The 23105-nt window shown below is 41.2% G+C and overlaps 1 protein-coding gene across 18 annotated transcripts in view; it reads right to left on the reverse strand.

Moving 5' to 3' along the window:
• Window positions 1–9606: 9606 nt before the first annotated feature.
• The window catches only part of FAM135B (family with sequence similarity 135 member B), a 367708-nt gene continuing 354209 nt past the window's right edge, over window positions 9607–23105 (reverse strand). For 15 of the 18 annotated variants that reach the window (NM_001362965.2, NM_015912.4, XM_011517062.2 and 12 more), the window contains 5 exons: window positions 22596–22693; window positions 20782–20933; window positions 18570–18680; window positions 16731–16844; window positions 9607–12382 (listed from right to left, as the gene is read on the reverse strand). In NM_001362965.2, coding sequence (NP_001349894.1) covers window positions 12177–12382; window positions 16731–16844; window positions 18570–18680; window positions 20782–20933; window positions 22596–22693 — 681 coding nt within the window. In that variant the 3' untranslated portion in view covers window positions 9607–12176. The other 3 variants (XM_047421814.1, XM_011517070.3, XM_047421813.1) reach the window with 2 other exon arrangements.

The following is a 23105-nucleotide window of genomic DNA, read 5'->3' on the forward strand; positions in this document are numbered from 1 at the left end:
ACTCCCATTCACAATTGCTTCAAAGAGAATAAAATACCTAGGAATCCAACTTACAAGGGATGTGAAGGACCTCTTCAAGGAGAACTACAAACCACTGCTCAAGGAAATAAAAGAGGATACAAACAAATGGAAGAACATTCCATGCTTATGGATAGGAAGAATCAATATTGTGAAAATGGCCATACTGCCCAAGGTAATTTACAGATTCAATGCCATCCCCATCAAGCTACCAATGCCTTTCTTCACAGAATTGGAAAAAACTACTTTAAAGTTCATAGGGAACCAAAAAAGAGCCCGCATCACCAAGTCAATCCTAAGCCAAAAGAACAAAGCTGGAGGCATCACGCTACCTGACTTCAAACTATACTACAAGGCTACAGTAACCAAAACAGCATGGTACTGGTACCAAAACAGAGATACAGATCAACGGAACAGAACAGAGCCCTCAGAAATAATGCCGCATATCTACAACTATCTGATCTTTGACAAACCTGAGAAAAACAAGCATTGGGGAAAGGATTCCCCATTTAATAAATGGTGCTGGGAAAACTGGCTAGCCATATGCAGAAAGCTGAAAATGGATCCCTTCCTTACACCTTATACAAAAATCAATTCATGATGGGTTAAAGACTTAAACGTTAGACCTAAAACCATAAAAACCCTAGAAGAAAACCTAGGCATTACCATTCAGGACATAGGCATGGGCAAGGACTTCATGACTAAAACACCAAAAGCAATGGCAACAAAAGACAAAATTGACAAATGGGATCTAATTAAACTAACGAGCTTCTGCACAGCAAAAGAAACTACCATCAAAGTGAACAGGCAACCTACAAAATGGGAGAAAATTTTCGCAACCTACTCATCTGACAAAGGGCTAATATCCAGAATCTACAATGAACTCAAACAAATTTAAAGAAAAAAACAAACAACCCCATCAACAAGTGGGTGAAGGATATGAACAGACACTTCTCTAAAGAAGACATTTATGCAGCCAAAAAACACATGAAAAAATGCTCATCATCACTGGCCATTGAGAAATGCAAATCAAAACCACAATGAGATACCATCTCACACCAGTTAGAATGGCAATCATTAAAAAGTCAGGAAACAACAGGTGCTGGAGAGGATGTGGAGAAATAGGAACACTTTTACACTGTTGGTGGGACTCTAAACTAGTTCAACCATTGTGGAAGTCAGTGTGGTGATTCCTCAGGGATCTAGAACTAGAAATACCATTTGACCCAGCCATCCCATTACTGCGTATATACCCAAAGGACTATAAATCATGCTGCTATAAAGACACATGCACACGTATGTTTATTGCAGCATTATTCACAATAGCAAAAACTTGGAACCAACCCAAATGTCCAACAATGATAGACTGGATTAAGAAAATGTGGCACATATACACCATGGAATACTATGCAGCCATAAAAAATGATGAGTTCATGTCCTTTGTAGGGACATGGATGAAATTGGAAATCATCATTCTCAGTAAACTATCGCAAGAACAAAAAACCAAACACCGCATATTCTCACTCATAGGTGGGAATTGAACAATGAGATCACATGGACACAGGAAGGGGAACATCACACTCTGGGGACTGTTGTGGGGTGGGGGAGGGGGGAGGGATAGCATTGGGAGATATACCTAATGCTAAATGATGAGTTTGTGGGTGCAGTACACCAGCATGGCACATGTATACGTATGTAACTAACCTGCACAATGTGCACGTGTACCCTAAAACTTAAAGTATAATTAAAAAAACAAATTAAAAAAAAAAGAGAAAAAGAAAAAAAAAAAACTTAAAATGGGTAAGTATATGTGTTTAAACAGACAGTTTGAGCTACCACCTTTTACTGTAATTCACATGATTTTGAACTCTCCTTGTTCGAGAACCCTACATATCACTCAGATACAAAATCCTTGGTGCCACTGAGAAGACACAGGACTATGGTTTCTCGTGATCTCACAGAGACAGAAGTTAGGGATCTAAGGAAGCTGCAGGGGCCAGTCACCTCATTGCCCCCTCTGCAGTCGGAGCCACCTCTCACTAGCTCCCTGCTTCCACTTGACAGTGACTCAGACACATGTTCAGATTGATTACCTTTTGCTCCTCCTACTACACAAACCTGATGCTCACTGCATTCTCCAGTTTAGCTTCTGGAGATATCCTTAAGAGTGTGGCCAGTTTTCTCCATTCCTGTTCTACCTGTCTGTCTATCACAGGTCATTGACTGGTCTATGGAAGCTCTGCGCATGGCTCAGTTACCCATCCCTGGTCCTATGAGCTACAGTCAGTGGAGGTAGGGTCAAGTGATGTAGACACCATGCCACAGGGACAGACAGAATAGCCCAGGGCCTCCTTTCCTAGCAGGGGTTGTAATCATGGGTGGTTTCTATTGGAAATGGGCAGTGGACAGATGCTCATCATGACTGGCCTTTCAGGACAGCGGGAAACAATGTATTAGACATTCCCATTGCGTGCTTCTTCCAGTCAACTAGACACATTCAGCAAAGCCACTATCTAGAGACCAGAGCCTATTCTTCCAGGTGCACTTTGGATGAGCAGCTTTGATTGTTAGAAACTCCGAGTAATCAGGGTGCACTGAATATAGAGATGAAGACCAGGTCTTTAGTTTACTAAATGACACATCCCATTCCCTGACCCAATCCTCCAAGGGTCCGGTTACGAGTTCTCTCCGATTCTGTCAGCCACTCCAGGATACCCCAGATCCTTTCTCTCTCTCTCTCTCTCTCTCTCTCTCTCTACATATATATATATATATATATATATATTTATTTATTTATTTATATTTATTATACTTTAAGTTCTACGGTACATGTGCACAACGTGCAGGTTTGTTACATATGTATACATGTGCCATGTTGGTGTGCTGCACCCATTAACTCGTCATTTACATTAGGTATACCTCCTAATGCTATCCCTCCCCCTCCCCCCACCCCACAACAGGCCCCGGTGTGTGATGTTCTCATTGCTGTGTCCAAGTGTTCTCATTGTTCAATTCCCACCTATGATTGAGAACTTGTGGTGTTTGTTTTTTTGTCCTTGTGATAGTTTGCTGAGAATGACGGTTTCCAGCTTCATCCATGTCCCTACAAAGGACATGAACTCATCGTTTTTTATGGCTGCATAGTATTCCATGTTGTATATGTGCCATATTTTCTTAATCCAGTCTATCATTGTTGGACATTTGGGTTGCTTCCAAGTCTTTGCTACCAGTTAGAATGGCGATCATTAAAAAGTCAGGATACCCCAGGTCCTTTCTAAAGGGTGCCTCCCAAAAATAACAGCCATGTGCCATGTATCCTCTGACGAAATGTCGAAATAACTCCTTCAGCCCTGACTGCACTCCTAGAGTGGCTACTGTGCATTCCATAAACACAAGGTCTTGGCAAAAGAAAGTCAAAGGATTTTCTTTTATTGTTGTTGTTTGTCACTAATACACATCACAAGTAACACGAAATGCCAACCAAAAAACAAATGTAGAAAAATAGTAGAATTGTATTGGCACTAATGACTTTGTAATTACTATAGTGGCTGTTTTACCGACAATTTGCAAGAGTGCAGGAGATTGTAATTATTGTATACAGATATTGTCACCAGAATACGCATTAGGATTCACAGTGGCATCAAGCTATACATTGTTTCTTTTTCAGATAAAGAGACCATGACAAAAGACCCTGCCTCTCTTTGCCTTCTACAATGTAGGAGGTCACATTTGAAAATAAAAATAAAATAATAGAAATTACACAGCCCTGCCCTGTGTGATCAATAAACAGAAGCCACAGGCTGGTCCCCTTGGCCAAGTCTAAGCATGGGCATGCTTATGGACACTATTGGTGTGCCTTTTATTCAATAATCTGGTTTTGTCTATTAATTTGGAAAAATGTAAAGGTTGTTTACTGAGTATCCAGACTTTGTATTACAGACAGGAGGAGGTGCTTCTTGACGAACTGGTTTGTAATCTGCCCCTGTCACCTTCTGTTTTTATACATTCCCTATCTTGGCACTGATCTAGGGATGGCCCAATGGAGCATTGAAATCCTACACGAATGGTGTGGCTGATGTCATGGCAGCATCGCATCTGGACTGGATTTCTGCTTCCAGACCCAGATGAGAAGCCCAAACCCCAATACCAGGGATGTGATTTGCTTTTATCGATATCAGGATGATATTAGTCTCAATGTTTCCCGCTTGCTCTCTTGCCTCATTAATCTATCCTGCACTATGAATGCAGCCATCCTCTCCCCCAACTAGATTATAAATTATTGAATAGCAAAGTCACATCTAATTAATTTCTGTAACCACCAATGCTTAGCACAGAGCTAAGCAGAGACTAAACGTTTTAAAAACTAAATGTATTTAATATGAGTTATGGGAAAATTGTAAATGAAAATCAAATCACAGACTTTCATGTTAAGTTGTATGTAGAGAAGATAGCATTTGGGGATCAAGTGAAGTCTACTATTTAAAAGGAAATATATGTGTGTGTGTATATATATATATATGCAAAGATATAGGAATAGGTTATCAGATGCACCTTGATTATTATTCAGTTTTCTTTCTCAGGGCAAGAAAAATAAGCAGGGTATTTTGCCATATGCAATAAGTTTAACCTTGGGCTAAAGGACATTTCAATATGTCTTTGCAGTTTGATGCAATACAAAGGATTCTGAGTGACATTTACAGAATTAAATCTTTCAAACACCTTAAATTAGATGTAATACTGCTCTCAGCTATGTGTCAAGCTGCAGCCTTTCCTCAACTCTCAACAATGGTGTACAATATACCCTAAACAGAAAAATAGTTTTATGACATAGATCATTCAATAATGCACTGAATAGACCTGAAAACGTCCAGTCTGGAAGCTTGTGGAGTCACAGTGGAATGTTCTGATGGAAGCTTAAGGCTAAAGTTTCAAACCAAGTAATCTTCCTTAAGCCATCATGTATGAATCACTTTAAAGCCATGTAAGAAATCTCTTAATGTGTTTATTTCAAAGATACTTCCCTATAACCAACCTTTTGCTATAAAACATTCCCAAGCCACTCACCAAGCTTTTCAATGCTCACTCTGTAAAAGGCATTGTTCCAGATCTCTACTTTTCCTATGTTGTTTGCACCCCTGAACTACCTTTCAATTAGGTATTTCCAAGCCTTTCCAAGGAAACTGAGGCCTAAAGATAGAATGATGCTTCCCACTACACGAAATTCCACTGTGATGTCTGAAGAAACTCCTCTTCTCTTGCAAATTCAGAAGCTTAGAGAGTAAACACGAGCCAATGTCAAACTCTGCATTAGCAACAGTTGCTGTGGATGACATGAGGGGCTGGAAAGAAAACATGAGCTTTCAAAGGACTGACCCTTTCAGCAAAGACACATTGAACACCCACTCTGTGTCAGGCAGCGTGTGCAGGATCAGGTGTACTGGAAGAATTAGACATGGTTTCTGCCCTTGAGGAAAAAATATTCGTATGTGAGAGATCTATAGAGACACAGATAAAAATGTGATGAGAAATGAGAAAAGAGTGGGCTTATGGGAACGTGAGAAAACCTAGCTCTGATGGCAAGGCACTGAGCTCAAATTCATCCGGAAGCAGGAATCTGCAATCTAGGAACCATTTATTGTAGATTCAAACCCTATGGTAAAGGGAATGAATCCTGGATGAATACGATCAGGCACTGCAACGTGAGAGTTGCAGAAGGAGATAATGTATGGAAGGAAGAACATGGCCTGGGACAGCTGTGGAAAGAAAGGTGTGTGGTTTTGGAAAAGGAACTCCAGGTTACTAGGAGAAAAGAGAATCTTGAGAAACATAAATGATCAGCAAAGAATGCAACAGTTCATCCAACTACACTGTTGACAATGCTTTATATAACTACCTTTGCCACTAAGTTTTTCTTGCTGTTTAATTTATTGGTTATGTAGATGTCTCATATAAGAATATATTATAATAGAAGGCTCAAAAGGTTATGGTTTAGGAGATGTGGACTTGAACTCTGGCTTTGATTTTCACAAGACATGTGACTTTTACAATTAAGTAACTCTCTGGGTTGGAAAAATCATAGAATAAAAGATAAAATGAAGGCTAGAAGTTCAAATCTTGACTCTACCACTGCTAAACTGTGTAATTGTAGGCAAGTTACTTGACTTCTCCCAGCATCATTTATATGTTGTGTGGGATTAAATGAAACTATATATGCAAAAATCTAACCAACAAATTTGAATATTGTAAATTATTTCCATTTTTGTTCTTCTTCATTTGTTAAAAGTTAGATGGACAAGAGTCCATGTTTGTTTTAGTTGTAAAAGTTTCTGATTCTGTGATGACACAAAGTTTGAGGTTTGAGGACTGTTTTTCTAAAGTACTGTAATCACAACTACATCTATGAAACAATGATACACACAGTCTTTATAATTTGGTCATAAAGAGATCAAATATAGAGAAATAACCTGGTTTAATGATTCGCAAAACACTATTCAGCAACACCCATACATTTACATTTGATCTAAAAGCTCAGTTCTATATATTCTGCTCTTTCTCTTCTGTAACAGAAGTCACTGGGATCCTTTTCCCAATAATTAAAATGGATTATTACAGGGTTTGTGCACTGAAAACTCTGTATTATTGAATACTATATTATTTCCATTGAACATAAAAAGCTCTGGAGAGAGTTCCACTTTTCCAAATTGTCCATAGTGTTTTCTACTGAAACTTAATTAACATCACACATAATTGCCCAGGTGCCATGGAAAATCAAGCTAGAAACAAGTAAAGAAAAAGGTAAAATTGATAAATAAAGGCAGAAAGGGAGGAAAAAGCACAGAAATCCCGAGAAAGCCACCTTAAAGAGTTTGAAAAATCTCCATGGTGGTTTCTCTTCATTTAGAGAGTATATGTGCGTGTGCGTGTGTGTGTGTCTATACACAATATTGTATATAATGTCACCACAATGACCGTGCTTTGTCATATATAGATCAAGACCTGTCTGGTCAAGTGAAGCTGGAAATGCACAGTTCAGGATATAGACATCAGATACAGTCTATATGAAGCAGCCCATTTTTCCTCTTCCAATTCTGATATTCATTATTTTAGACACCAACAGTTAAAAGTAAAACACGGCCGGGTGAGGTGGCTCACGTCCGTAATCCCACCACTTTGGAAGACCAAGGCAGGCAGATTGCCTGAGCTCAGGAGTTTGCGACCAGCCTGGGAAACAAGGTGAAACCCCGTCTCTACTAAAAATACAAAAATTAGCCGGGCGTGGTGGCATGCGCCTGTAGTCCCAGCTACCCAGGAGGCTGAGGCAGGAGAATCACTTGAACCCGGGAGGTGGAGGTTGCAGTGAGCCAAGATCGTGCCACTGCACACCAGCCTGGTGACGGATCCAGACTCCGTCTCAAAAAAAAGAAAAAAAAAGTAAAACACTCAGTTTTATCATTACCCCAGATCCTTCTAGTGTCTAGGATGACATGATTTCCTAGTACAGTACCCAACACAAAATAGATGTTCAATAAAACATGTAACAAATAAGTGAGTGAACAATTGAAATAAAATGATCCAGATGCTAGCGTGTAATGCTATATTGGGATGGGTGCCTTGCGAGAAAATTAACAGAAAGCGTAATTGTTGTTCTATGTGTTCTTTGCCATGGCCACACTTCTTTTTTCCTTCAGGACCCCCACAACTGTCCCTAGCAGCCCTGGTTATTTCTAATGCTCAGAAATATATGCTGTGAAACCAAAGCTAATGGCATGGGGGAAAAAAAGTAGCAATTACATTCAGGAGCTTGCAAATACCTGAATGCAAGCTTTCAAATAAGTAGCCATGTGCGTAGAGAGAGATGCCATCATCTTACACAGCGAGAGCCAGCTGAACACTTGTTCGCCTCCTAGCACTTTTAAAGGCTATTTTTCTTCTTTACAGAAACACCTTGGTTATGTGCCATTATTTATAGTGTGTTCTTTGCCATTCATGTACTACATGGGTGATCTCCCTGTTGGTTTCTCCCAAAGCTCCTTCTGGACATGGGCTTGGCCACACTCACTGTGCCTATAACTTTCTGCTCTCTGTCTACTTTCCCCTTGCATGTATACCCTCCATCAGGATGGGAAGATTATTTTATTTTATTTTAGCTTTACGACCAACACCTGGCTTGTGCCAGGCTATTAGGAAACATTTGTGGCCGAAGGAAGGACTATAGTTTTGACTAAGTTACCCCAAGCTTGTGGGGGCTGCAGACTGCTTAACTGTAAGCTGAGGATTGAATAACTTTCTTTATAAAATTTTTATGATCAAAAGCAGCTTGTGTGATCACCTTAAATACCAATACAAGAATTTCACTTTATTGCTTCCATGCATTAAAAAAAAAAATTTTAACCAAATGACTATTCCCTCTTCTTAGCCTGTTTATATAATGCCATTTGTTACAGTTTTTCTCCATGAGAAGCCCAGCAGACATGTCTACTATGCTTCTCAAAAGAAAATTTCAGAAATGAGTGATGGTGGAGGATGTGGCTGGACTTCTCCCAAGACAGGAGGGATCAGATCTCTAGCAGAGGGTGAAGCATGGAGCGACACATGATGGCAGGGGCAGGCCTTGCTCTCCCAGGGGCTCTCCTTACCAAGTGGAAATTGTCCTGCTAGTGTTAACAATGGAAATTTCCTCCTGATAGAAGAAGAAAATCCTGCATGGCAGCTGACTTCTCACACCTCTGTTTTGCTACTTTTGTGCTCAACCATATTCTCCATCTGCCTTTGCAGTGGTCAAAGGTTCCCAGCCCTCAGCTCTCGCCTGAAGCCCTCTGCTCATTCTGTCCCTCTTGGAGGGATCCACATAACCCACCTTCGCCGAGCCGGCTCCTACTCAGCCTTCGGGTCTCGGCTTAGACACCAAACCCTCCCAAAGGCCTTTCCTGACCATCTCTACCCCACATCCCTGCTGTAGGTGGATGCCCCTGCTCTGAGCACACACAGAACCATACCCCTTCTGTGGGGCCACCCACTTCGATTTCCCATTTGATCAGCTGTGTTCCTTGCTAGATGGTAAGCTACTAAGTTTTACCAATGCATCCCTGGCACAGAGTAGGTCCTCAAGACAAACTCGCCAGATGAATGAATGAATGATATAATGGAAGAGTGCACACTGGGGTGACGGGCTGTGCAAGGTAAATAGTCTCACCTTTCAAGTCTCACTCTCAACGCTTCCTTCCTGGCCTTCCCCAGGCAATAAGGAGTGGATACCTAGGACCAAGGAGCACCAGCCCCGGCCTTCCTTAGCGCTTTTGTTATATCCCATTGTGATGATAAGACCGGATCTCCCTGGAGTTCCTGGTCAGCATGGACTGTGCATTTTACCTCTGTGCTCCCATCTGGCACAGATGGATGGAAGCTGCTCAGTAGATACCTGTGAATTGTGGAAGCCAACAGGGGGCTTTTCCGTCTTCACCTTCTCTCAGGTTCACAGCACTCCCTCTGCTTTCAAACTGCCATTGGGGTATTTGTTTTGCTACAAGATGACTTTGGGTTCATACCTGCTTCCCTGGATTTATTTGGCTTATAAACAACAAATTCCAATTAATCTCAATATTGGGCATTTTTATTTCTAACTCATTTTGGGAAACAACAAATCATAAAAACAAAAACAAAAATTACGCAGAGAATGAAGACATACAAGACCATTATCTTGGCAGGCATTTTGTTTATAATTTTTACAATCAATAATAGAATGTCCCTGTTTTACATAATATATATTTATATATATTTTATGTATATATATTTATATATTCGATATCTATATTTCAATAGAAAGAGACATAAAAAAGCCTTTTCAAATGAGGCATGACACGCAACACTCGACACTCTTATTTACAATATAGAGATGTACTTTCTACACAATTATAATAGATGCTCAGAGGCCAGAGAGGGTTTACAAAGACAGCAGAGCACCCCTATAAAAAAGAGGTGCACCATGCAGCTGGACGTTTATTGCCATTAGTTCTCACTATGTCCAGACAGCATATTGAAGTTAAAAATGGCATCTGGTTATTGGAGAAGATGATGATCATCAGATTCATCCCGGCTCCATAACCGCGGGCTACACAGTCTTTCAAAGGACCAGGGAATGACGAACATTGCTGATGAAAATTGGAAACACAACATGAAATGCACTCATCAGAGGGACAGGGCCCATCATTTGGCCAGAAAGGAGAAGCTGCTACCAACTTATGGTTCTGTACTGAGCATGGGCACTTGCCTAGGTCAGGAAACACAATACCATGTGCTGCACGACTAGGGAACAAATGTCTCCCAGGTTACAGAGCAAATACAGCACTCCTCATGAAGAACCAGAGTCTATGCCCAGCTCTGACTCGGGAGCTCAGATAAAAATCCCCAGTGGAAAGTGACCAGAGGACTCAGTGAACCCATATGCATTATGACCAGGATATAACAAGCATTTAGAAAGGACTCACTGAGAAACCCTAAATCCATTGTGTGGAACTCTGCCTTTGCAAGACATTCAACTCTCCCTCAACGACCCTCTCTTTCTTCAAAAGAATACCACATGTCTACACTCCTGCAAAGCTGCCCATCTGGACTCATTCCCATGGTCTGCTTTTATTTTTCAAAGTCACATTGTTAACATAAGAGGATCTAAAATTCTCAAATGAGCTTAGATTTACTTGGTTTTGTTACCATGGCATCAGTGACCTAGAGTCATGGTCTAGGTATTGAGAACCCTGGTCCTAGATGCGTTTCCACACTTCAGAAGGGATTTTTGCAGAAGCAGGAGCTTTCATCTCCAAAAGATTAGGCTCCTGTCTTACTTATCCCTACTGTCCAGGTTCATTCATCTCTTCCATACAACGAAATGATTCTTTAGGCTTACTTTAGCCCATACAACATACTCAGTCTTTGAGACCTGACTATTAAACATCCTGGTAATTTTCAAAACTCCCCTTTGAGTCACTTACCAATAACAGCTTATGTTGAGTCTTCAGTCTGGTTGTTCTCCTCCTATCTGATCTCACTTTTGTCCCTGTCGTCTATTGGTTTTTATCAACGCAGTGACCTTTCCTAGCCCTTTATTTTCCTAAGGCAAGAAGACATTTCTATTGAAAGATAGCCAGCACCCTTCTTAGAGCTCCCCTGAGGTTTTAATCCAGCACTCCTCCATTTAGATGTTTTCCTCCTTCCATGGAGAGGAGAAGCAGCTGGCCACTTTAATGGATTTAATTTTTTGCAATTGCATCAAATGCTAACATAGCATGTCTTTGGAAGTGTATCAGCAGGAGCTTCACACGTGTGTGCATTCATCTCAGTGCCCCCTTCTGCTAGGTTAGTCTCACTCAGTGTTCCCTACTACAGACAAAGATGTAAGCAATCACTAAAATAATTTGTGGATCAGGGCTCTGCATAGAAGAATTCTGGGGAAGTAGGTGGAGCAACTATTCATAGTTCAGTATGTCCCTAGAGTCATGTTTCTTTGTAACAAACTTGTATTTACCAATAGTGTCACCTTTATCCCTCTTTACCTTAAGTCACCCTGCTCACTGCTGTTATGAAATAGAACTGGGATTTGTAACACATTCCTTGCTCCCTTGTTTAGAAAACATGAGGAGAGAATATGAATATGGGCATCACATTTTCTTGAACAACTGACACATTTGAATCTATTGAGGATTCTATTTACACAAATATGTTCCACTGCTGCACAGAGATTAACCTGAGTTCTGAAATGCTTGTGTGCACTTAATCAGAAATGATAAAGCTATAAGCTAGTAACATATTCGGCAAGTCTAGTTAAATTGGAGTAATCTCTCAGTAAGCCAGTAGTGGCTAGCAAGGGGAGCTCACCAACTCCCAAGTATTCTGTTTATTCTCTCATATTTTTCCTAGAAAACATCTTGAATGACACTCCAGGTAACTATACAAATTCAAGCAAAGTTTGTTGTCATTTAGTCTATTTGCTCAGCTTTCTCGAATCTCCAAAACAAAAGCACCTCTCATGTCAGGTTCCACCCGAGCCTCCGTCCCCCAATGCTGTTGAAGCTTCATTCTGAAATGGTGAGGTCTGTAAAAGCAGGTCTCAGCTAAAGCTCTCCACCGATCGTAAGCATTACCAAAGACCTGCTCCCTCAAAGCCACTACTTGAAGTAGTTGAGTCCTGCCACCAAGAAAAACTTCTCCAGGAAGAGTTCTGAATCCAGCACAGCGATGTGAGCGGCTCGGCCGATCAGGGTGTTGGCAGTGTTGGGCAGGGCGTGGAACACGTTGTGTCGGATTAAAGTGCAGTCCTTGGCTTCAACCAGAGGGCCCAGGAGGTTGTTGATCATTTCTGCATAAACTGGCCCTGTAAAGTGGGGAAGAAGGACATGAAGCTGGTGCAGAAATTAGCAGTGGAATCTAGAGAACATCACTAGATGTGTGTCGAAATTCTGTTCCTGGGCAGACCTGTTATACAGCAGTTTCCAACCTCTTCCTAATGTTAGTGAAATTAATATGAAATAAAATCAAAGTTCTCTTTTTCTAGTCAGATGACAATAGCCAGAAGTCAGAAGGGGATTCCTAATAGCGGCTTTATGAACCCATGCACCGGAAGTTATGATAGCAGTGTTCGTGTTTCTCAATAATAGCTGTACCTCCCAGCAGGGTAGCAGAGAAGGAGGCCAACACCAGAGAGGACCCTCAGAGTTTCAAGTTCTATTTCAGGGGATCTTGGGGGTTGGAAACACAGCTCAATAGAGAATTGAAAGCAGACATTTTCTGATGTCATGCATAATGGAAGCCATGTGGCATTTCACCCGACTCCTCTGATTCCAAAGAAGGAGAATGCAGTTTTCTTTATGTTGGTTTGTTTTGTTTTTACAATTGTTAGTCTGAATTGACTGTTTCCACCTGAAAGTGACACAGTTGCAATTTTGCTTCAGGCCATGGAGGTCTTGGAGCCATGCAGTGCAATTGAATTGCTGAACAATAGATAGATTTGCACACCTGGATCTACGATTCATATCTCCCAGCCCTGTGTTCTTCTTTTCTGAAAAACTGTTTATGACAACTTTTGTATCATTGACAGACACTTTCTGGAATGATCCTGAGAGCTGGGATATTTTACTTTTGACCAACTGGGGAGACAGTAATTGGAAGTTGTAAGTCAGGTGAGCTTCTGGGTACCCACTCCAAACAACCGGGTCTGTTTTACAAAGCCAGTAGAGCAGTCACTTTGGATGATGAAAGAGAGCTTATTCTGAGTTTAACAGTCCACAGCCTCACTCTGGACACTCTCTCATGCCACGTGAAGGAACTCAACACCGTTTTCCTTTTCCCTCCAGTTATCAGCAGGGGAGAGTACTTAGAGGTCTGCTTTCCCAGACTGGGATGGACAGCTGGACCCCCCCATCACGCATGGGGTATGTATTTGGGGGTGTTTCTTTTCCCCCCCTTCTTAGGGTCTTGGTAGGAGCTTTGACGTAAAGGGAATTGTAACGTGAAATTGAAATAATTAGGGATTTCGTTGTAGCCATGTCAATTCAGCTAAAAAGAATTTGGGGTTAAAACAAATGGTATGGTCATTCCCAAGAGCCCATTAATGTCTTAGAGTAGCGGTCATTACAACAGGCAATAATATGATGTGAGGTTATGCCACAGTAATTTTATGTATGAAATAGTCCTTCCAAGGGAAAAGGGAGGTCAGCCAAATTCAGCATCAGAGGAATAGTTAAGTAAACCATGCTTTGTGGGCTAAACAATTCTGTGCTCCTTTAAAATGATGTTTATGAACATTACGTAATAATATTTTTTAAATGATGTATGTGAATATTATGTAATAACAAGAATAATGAATAAATGTTGCCAATAAATGGAAATAGAAGCATATATTGTTACACAAATACCATAATTTGTTTAAATTGTATATGCAATAAAGGTCAGAAGGTCATTTATTTAAAGAAAAAAGTCACTCAAAATGTAGTGATTACTCAACCAGATCATTTTCTGCTGAGACCTTGATTGGTTTCATAAGCCCTGGAGGCAATCACTGGTATATTTTTTAACATTTATAGCAAACTCTTATATGTTTTCTCAAATACAGCACTGTTTTTAAATTGATGGACTTTTGGGATAGGGGCAAATTATCTACATGACAATGTAGAGAATAAATTGGAAGGTTATGTGAAGTCAGAGAGGTTGAGAGGTATTTTATTTCAGAATTTTTGAAAAATAAAAATATTGGTACTTCTTCCAGAAAAAAAAAAGTGATAATCATGTATAAACTAAACTTCATATCAAGTCTCCCAATCTGTTTAATTCACCAATTAAGCCACACTTCTTTGATGTCCGTGTAAAAATGTAACAGAAAATATAAGTTTAACAAAAGAGAGGGCGATTTTTTCTTAAGATGACTAACAGGAAGATTAATCAATTTAAGTCATATATTAATATCCTTTGAAGATACACTCCCTTTTCCTTAAATGGCCATTGTGAATATCAAATAAGATAAGCAAAGCGCATGAATTGTGCCCGGCCCATAATAAATACAATTTGCTATGCTAGAGCAGGAGTTGTCAGACTTTCTCTGTAAATATTTAAGGCTTTCCAGGACGCGCAGTGTAACTACTCAACATAATTCTGAATTCTAGCGTGAAAGCAGCCATATACAATATGTAAATGATGGGTGTGGCTATGTTTCAATAAAACTTTATTTACAAAATGAGAGATGGGTTGAATTTGGCTTGTGGACCATAGTTGTTGAACTCTGTTCTTAAGGCTTTACCAAGGTTGAAATGTCAACAAAAATATTTCTCTATGTCAGGGAGACAAGAAAGTAGGCAAGGAAAATTAGCAAATCCCTGCACAAAGAAACAGTTTGGCTGTCTATTGACCACAGCTATGTTTAGTCAAGTCTGAACTGAAAACCAGATCATTGACTCTTTATTTATTGTCACAGGTCTTAGCATATAATGATGTCCCATGGGCAATTAGAAAATATTTAAAAATGGATTAAAAATATACATAAAAAAGCATCAATATTTAAAAATTCAGGCTGAAAAATTATAAGCAAATATCTTTAAATTAATATTTAATCTGAGAGACAGTAGAGTGAGATAGGCAGGCACGAATATACTCTAACAGTACACGTGTTGCTGGTATCAATATTTTAGAAGGGAATTTGGCAAAAAACTTTAAGAGTAGTAACTCATTAACATTTTCCTCCAATAATACCACTACTAGAAATCGATTTTAATGAAATACCATAGATGTATTAAAAGTTTACACATGCAAAGTCTTTCATCACATAATAACTAAAAAGGAAACCTTCCAGAAGCAAGCTCTATGTGCAGTAATTGAGAAGTTGTTAAATTATGGTATATGCATATAGTCTATAATTATTAAAATGTGTTTGTATTTATGATATTTTATTAACATGGACAAATAACTATATTACTCTAAATCAAATCATGACACAAAATTATAACATTTATCATGAACACACATGAAGAGACAGACTAGAAGAACACGAAAAGTAGGTAGTGATAGAGGTGGAGTTAGAAAGGATCATAAATTATGTAAATGAGTTTGACTTTTTCAAATATTCTATAATGTTTTTAATCAGAAAAAAAGAATCATTTTAGAATATGCCCTGTGTTACTTTTCATTACATATACTAGATGGTATAAAACACAATGCTATTTTATGTATTAAAACTAATTTTTAAAAATTTTTTCATCAAAATTCCTGTTGGATTTTCTAGATACCAGGGAAAATTTGGAATAGACCCAATTATATATTAGCACCAAATCTTTGGACCTTTGGTACACTATTTTTTGATAGTACCTTAAAATATAACAAAACTACTATTTACTTAAAAAATAATCAATATGCCTGACATAGAAATATACAAATTAGATTGGATTCTGGAAGAGAAAGGGGACATTAGTGGACACTGACATAATTTAGATAAGGTCTAGAAATTAGATAATAATATTGAATCAGTATTAATTTTCTGATTTTGATAATGGTACAATGGTTATGTAAGATGCTAATATTGGGCATCAGAGTGAAACGTATGCAGGAATTTTTTGTACTGTTGTTGCAACATTTTTTGAGTATAAAATTGTTTCAAAATTAAAAGCTAAAAACATGTTTTTAAAAAAAAACAATTAAACAAATTAACCAAAGGAAACCACAAATGCCAGCCCACATCCATCTTGATTGTCTGGAAAATTCCTACCTATCCTTTAAAACCTAACTCATTGTCATCTCCAGGGATCCTCGTCTGACTCTGTCCTATGTCCTGTTCCACTTCTGGGCTGCCTTAATGCCTTAGGCATTATTTTATTTTTTGACTTATCACATTTTACTCTCATTGCTATTACTTGTCGAGGCTCCAACTAGACAATGTGCCCCTTGAGGGCAGGGCCTGTCTCATTGAATTATACATCCCAGTCATCAATTTCAGTGGCTGGCACACAATAGGACTGAACAGAAGTTTCATAATCTAATAAACATGTGACTGTTTATTACACAAAGGAAGGATCTGGCACAGTAACATCGAGATGAGCTATGTTTGTCCTATCACTAAGCTAAGATAAATGCAGCACTAAACCTATAGCCCAGGTGTTCCCAATAGGCAGTCAATTCCATGAATTTACTTTTGCTTTTCAAATTAGAAAGTCCCTGAGCAAAAATTAAATGTAGCTTACCTGTGTGTCTGTCTTTGAGGGCAGTTTTACACATTTCAATCCTGGCTGAATGAAATGGCACATAACGGTCTTGGGGAGAAGCAACCAGCACGACGTTTTTAAAATACTGCAGCCCTGTAAAAATTAGCCAGATGAGTGCTTTTTACCCAGGTAGTTTCAACTTCAACACCCTCTGGAAATTTGCACAAATTTCCAGACTTGTCCTATAGAGAGAAAAAATGTTGACACACCACACACTAGTGTCATCACACAAGGACATTCTGTCCTGAGGTTTAACAATGCACAGCAGATGGCATAGAGGTATCGCGGGGGCCTATGGGAGGTTGAGAAAAGAAGTCACTAAGCAGGGGCTTTGCGTTTGTGAGGGGAGATGAAGCCTGCTCTCATCAGCCATGAAAGCTAAGGAGACACACAGAAAGCTACTCTGGACACAGAGAAATAAGCAACTAGAATGGGACCAAAAAAGCCTTTTGGGGATAGAAATATTAAGGGGTTCATAAGGAAAAGTCAGTCTGACTATCTTGTTCTTCCTCCTCAACTCCAGCACCTCTCCTAATTCCAGCCTTCACCACGTCCCATGCTTTAGGAAAACAGCCTCAGAACTCACCTCTCTGCAGCCAGTCTTGCCTTCCTGCAATCTGTCCCCACAATGCAGACAGAGGGACCCTTCAAATTAAACATCACAGTGTATCCCTGCAGGCCTCAGAGCCCATCGTGAACTTCCTGAGCACTGCAGACTACCCGGACACTCCATCTGTACTGAGACTGTCCTTCTCATTCCCCAGATCCTGCTGGGTGGGCGGCTGTCAGCTCTTAGCTATGTGTGCCCTACTGAAGTGTGGGTCCCCTCATCAGACATCACACATTGGGGGCAGCCTACTTCAACAGCTGGCCAATACATGGGCGAGGAAGACAAAGGTGTAATGGTCAGCCCCTCCCCTTCCTTCAGGACAGCTCTCCAGGGCCACCCCAGCTCCTGCACCCCTGATGGACTCTACAGTGATCACACTGCAGTCCCACCTTCTTCTGCCAAGCCCTGCCTCCCTCCTCCTCCTCCACAGGAGATAGCTCTAAGAGCTCAACTCAACACACAGAGGCAGAAAGTAGGAAAGGAACTCAGCCAGGCTCACAGATGAGCCCGTGGCTACACCAGATTCACAGGCACAGAGGGATCAGCAGAGTCAGTGTTTACAGGACGGTGGAAGATTGTGACCAAGAACAGACCCTGGGCCAGGCCAGCTTGTGTGGTGGGACTGAGCAGGGCAATCAGTCAGCTGCTCCACTCGCCGACTGGACATGGGGACCACTCGGCAATGATCACCATTACTGCTGTCCTCTGTGGACATTCCCATGTAGCAGGTAGGGTCTTCAACACCTCTATGCACTTCCACATGACAGAGAGAGGGTGCAGGTATCATAGCAGGCCTGCCTGACAATGACCCCCGTCTCCCACTGCACAGTCAACATCAGTGGAAAATGTTGCATCTGCCTTTTTTGTAGATGGGCCTGTACCTGGGTGAAGCTGGCACACAGATCTTAGGCCTATGCAATGAGAACATTGAAAAACTGGCACAAAGTGGAAGCTACAGCTTCTGGCTATTGAAATGATCTTACACACACCTTGGCTCAATCTCTCACGTGCCATATGGGCAATGGGCAAGAGGAGCTGAGTTCCTGGTAGCTGTTGGCCTCCCAATGAGCCAAAGAGGCTTTGAGTGCTGGGCCTCCTGACTAGGCCCTTCTGTGAGTGAATCAATGTAGCATTATATCTCATTTGTGTCTCAGGAGTTGAATCCCAAGCTCAAACTCATAACTGCAGCTGTGGGGGAAACCACTGACCTGTTTTTTGGCTTAGTTGGTAGAGGAAACATTTGCGCAAATCAGCATTATCCCTGAAGGTCAGCTGCAGTAGAGACCCGGATTTCTTCAGTTTCTGCATGAGCCATAAGCCTAGGAAGACAAAAACAAAATAAAAATCAAAAACACAAAACAAAACAAAAACTAACTGGGATGGAATTTTGGTGAGATGAACGTTAAACTGAATTTTAGTTAACTTGAAAATAAGAGAGAAGTAGGCATACTAGCAAATAGTTGGGAAGTTAGAGGTAAATTTGTCCTCTCACGTACTGGTGGAAAGGACTTAAATCATCCTGCAAAAATGATGACAGGACAACAGCCTTCGGAGTAAGAAACTACCCACACTCTTCAATCCAGTCAATCTCCTTCCGAAAAAGAAGCCTAGGGTAATAATTTTCAATGCGAAAAGAATATAAAATGATCCTTACAGATACATTTAGGATACAGTAAAGCTAAAATAAATGTCTCACTTCACAACTCATCTGTTGGCTGGGCATGGTGGCTCATGCCTGTAATCCCAGCACTTTGGCAGACCGAGGCGGGTGGATCACCTGAGGTCAGGAGTTCGAGACCAGCCTGGATAAAATGGTGAAATCCCGACTCTATTAAAAAATTAGCCAGGCATGGTGGCAGGCACCTGTAATCCCAGCTACTTGGGAGGCTGAGGCAGAAGAATTGCTTGAACCTGGGAGGCAGAGCTTGCAGTGAGTCGAGATTGCACCATTGCATTCCAGCCTGGGCGACAAAAGCAAGACTCTCTCTCAAAAAACAACAACAACAACAAAAATCTCATGCGTTTAGCTAAGCTTAGGCAAACACTAACATTGATGAGTGTAAGGATTACATAACCACAACAAGCAAATTAATCTGATAGAAACACAAGGAAATAAGCAAGCTATGGTATGTACATATATTACACTGACTGCTACGTCAATGTGTGTGCACAAAGATAAGTAGAATGAAATATATAAAATTACTCTGGATATGCTAGATTGGAGATATTATTGGTAAAGTCTGTCTTTTTAAAAAATATTTTATGATGCTGCAAGATTCCTTTATAACTGTGGGGGAAAAATGTAGTTTAACAAATTTGTTTCTGTCCAAAGAATGGCTTCCTTGGTTTGGGAGGAAAGACAGAGTGCAGAGGAAAGGACTTCCATTTGTTATGTGCCATTGTGTCGGATAACTCATGTTCACAAGTATGCCATAAAATAACTTAAAAGCAAACTAACTAAACTGACCAGGCCATGAGGAAACAACGTTAGTGTGGGAGAGGACAGGGGACAGTGGCAGAGGCCTGGAAGATTGCAGGGACAAGGAAGCTTATCAGGGGTGACCCTAATGCCACATAATGGGTTTGAACAATCAGGGACTACTGAGGTAGTTGTTAAGAACATGATTTAATAAACGATTTGTTATTACATATAAAACTCAATGCCCTCCTTGGGCTTCCATACACCAAACCATGTCACCTCCTCAGTAAAATCTCATGAGTAGTATCTACAAGGTCTACAGGGTAAGTCTAACATATTCTGGAGTCAGTCGAGGTCCTTCTTTGTCTGACTCTTGCTGATATATTTAACCTCCCATAGATGTTAGTCAACCTTATTTCCTTCCCCTGTGTAATCTTCAACAATTCTATGATACACATATGCACATATGCACCTACACACCATATATATGTATACATACTTACATTGTGTACATGCTTGTACACATACATATATGTATACATACATATACACAAACACAGATACACACACACATAACCTCCATTTTACAAACAGGAAGACTGAGGAGCACAGAGATTAAATGTCTAGGCCACAGTCTCCCTCAAGTGTCCTGGTCAGGACTTAACCACAGGTTTGTCATGCAGGTGGCCTGATTCAGAGTCCCTGTTCTCTTCATCACAACACCGTGTCTTGTCAGTCTTTTCCAACCAGGACCCCAGAGACATTGCCTTTTTTTCACAGAAATTTGAAGGCAGAAATGATCCTGGAAAACATCTAGTGTCACCTCACTCAGCCCCCAGACACAAGGGCCACACCTCTAAGGCCAGGACTCCTCCCTCCATGCCATGCTTGGAAAAGACTGCACAGTCACAGGGTTCCAAGTGGAAGTACCTGTGCCCGGTTTCACGCCCCAGAGGCCCCAGATTAATTCTGAGGAATGACGAGTCCTAGAAGAATCTTACCTGTACTAACCAGGGTGCTGTTGTTGTACAGGGTTCCCAGGTGAGGCCCAGAGAGTGACAGGAACGTGTGGAGTTTGTTGAGGTAATACCGGAACCGGGGCCGTGTGAGGACCGATCGGATGATGATGTTGCCAAGAGAATGGCCAATGAAGCTGTGGAGAAACAGAAGGGGTACCCATGAGTGTGACGGTGAATGCTGCTGCCCAAGAGTGCAGTGCTGGAAGCATCAGGGGCCATTGTTCTCCACCTCCCACTGAATGTAGGGGAACTGGCAAAGAGAACAGGGACTGCCAACTCAACCTCATCAGGTTTCAAAACACTGGCCATGAGAAGCCTGAGATGGGGTCTTTGTGAATGGGAGCTTTGTGCCCAGTCAGGGGAGAAGTGTGGGCATTTCAGCCAGCTTCATGCTGCTAGAGCAGCCTGCTTTAATTCCACCTGGGGGAAGGGAAGGTCCTTCCTGAAATGCACCTCTGAGCATTGAAATCTCCTGGTCATTCACAGGATCAAGTCCCAAGTCCTTATCCTGCTTGGGAGGCCATTCATATACGGATGGCCTCACAATGCCATTCATCCTCTCCTTCACCCGCTGTGTATATATTGAACCACCTGCTCACAGCCCATGCTGTTAGACCCCCTCCTGCAGGCTCTGCTCCAGCCATACTGCTACTCACAGGCCCACGTGTTCAATGAATCATTATTCTCAAGTTAAATACTTATTTATTGAGAGCCTATTATATGAGAGGCTATACCTCCCCACCTCTACTCATGATGAGCATAAAACCATCCAAGAAAAGAAATCAGTGTCACCCTATGAAACTGCCTCACCTAGCTTTTCTTTTATTCTTTTTTTTAAAAATCTAACCTCTATAGGCTTCATTTGTGGAATAAAGAAGTAATATTTTGTATATGAAGACTAAATGGGATAATGTATATCAAGGGATTAGCACTATGTCTACATATTCAATTGCATGAAAAATGCAAGCTGCTTACTAGCACTGTCGTCACTGAAACATTTGGTACAGTGTAAGAATAAAAGTAGTGCTGATTGAAACTCTCTCTTTGGGGTGGGCAACTCATTCTGCTTCTTCTTTTTTTTTTTTTTTTTTTTTTTTTTTTTTGAGATGGAGTCTCACTCTGTCGCCCAGGCTGGAGTGCAGTGGCGCAATAATCTCGGCTCACTGCAAGCTCTGCCTCCCAGGTTCACGCCATTCTCCTGCGTCAGCCTCCTGAGTAGCTGGGACTGCAGGTGCCCGCCACCACTCCCAGCTAATATTTTTGTGTTTTTAGTAGAGATGGGGTTTCCCTGTGTTAGCCAGGATGGTCTCGATCTCCTGACCTCGTGATCCGCCCGCCTCAGCCTCCCAAAGTGCTGGGATTACAGGTGTGAGCCACCGCGCCCGGCCTTTTTCAAACATCATCTCAGTGCTAGTTCCTCTTAATAGATAAGAAAACAGAGGTTTAGAGGTTTAGAAACCTTGCAAAAGGTTATATATCTGGTACATGGCAAGAAACAAGATTCCAACTTGTGAGTGTTAGAACAAGAATTCAAACCTAGGAATTTTTGTTTTAAGTCCAAGACTCTTTCTACAGAACTACAAAATTTTTATTCTCCCTGACACAAACTATGGCAGAGATGAATGTGTACGCCAGACCTGGTACTTACTTCTGCTTTAAAAGTAATTTATTAAAAGTCACAAGTTAGCTTAGCTCAGTGGTATACAGAAGGCATCATATTATTGCTTTTATACAGCAAACACTCAAAAATGTCCCCCCTCTTCCCCCAGCATTAACTACCTGTGGTTTCCTTTTACCTAATTCGGGATATGGAGAGGTTGTACAACTGAATGTGTTGAATGATTTCATCCAATAACCGATCCGTCATAGTATCAAAATCTGCAAATGTGTCCATCTGGAAGAAGAGAGAGGAACAGGTGTTGGGTATGGTTGTGGCGGGGGCTGGGCTTTGTGCACAGCCTGTGTTCTTCCACTAAACACTGTGGCGCCTACTGGGGATGTGCCTACCTCTGATGTTACGGCTACAGGATAAGATATGACTTCAGGACAAAAGGCCCACAGACTGGGGCTCTAAGAAAGAAACATGGAGATGCTCAGGAACGCTCAGCTGGGAGGGTGGCTGACACTGAAGTAGCAAGCTTGTGGTGCCGACTGCCACACCACGTGCCTGGCGTGTCAGCGTGACACTGGGATTGCTGCCCCTGCTTCACAGAGGAGGAAATAGACTCTGGGAGGGGAGGCCGCCTATTCACCTCACATGACCCAGCGTTCACACCAAGACAGGCCTGAATCCAAAGGCCCTGCCC

This window comes from Homo sapiens, chromosome 8 (assembly GCF_000001405.40).
Source record: "Homo sapiens chromosome 8, GRCh38.p14 Primary Assembly".
NCBI lineage: Eukaryota > Metazoa > Chordata > Mammalia > Primates > Hominidae > Homo > Homo sapiens.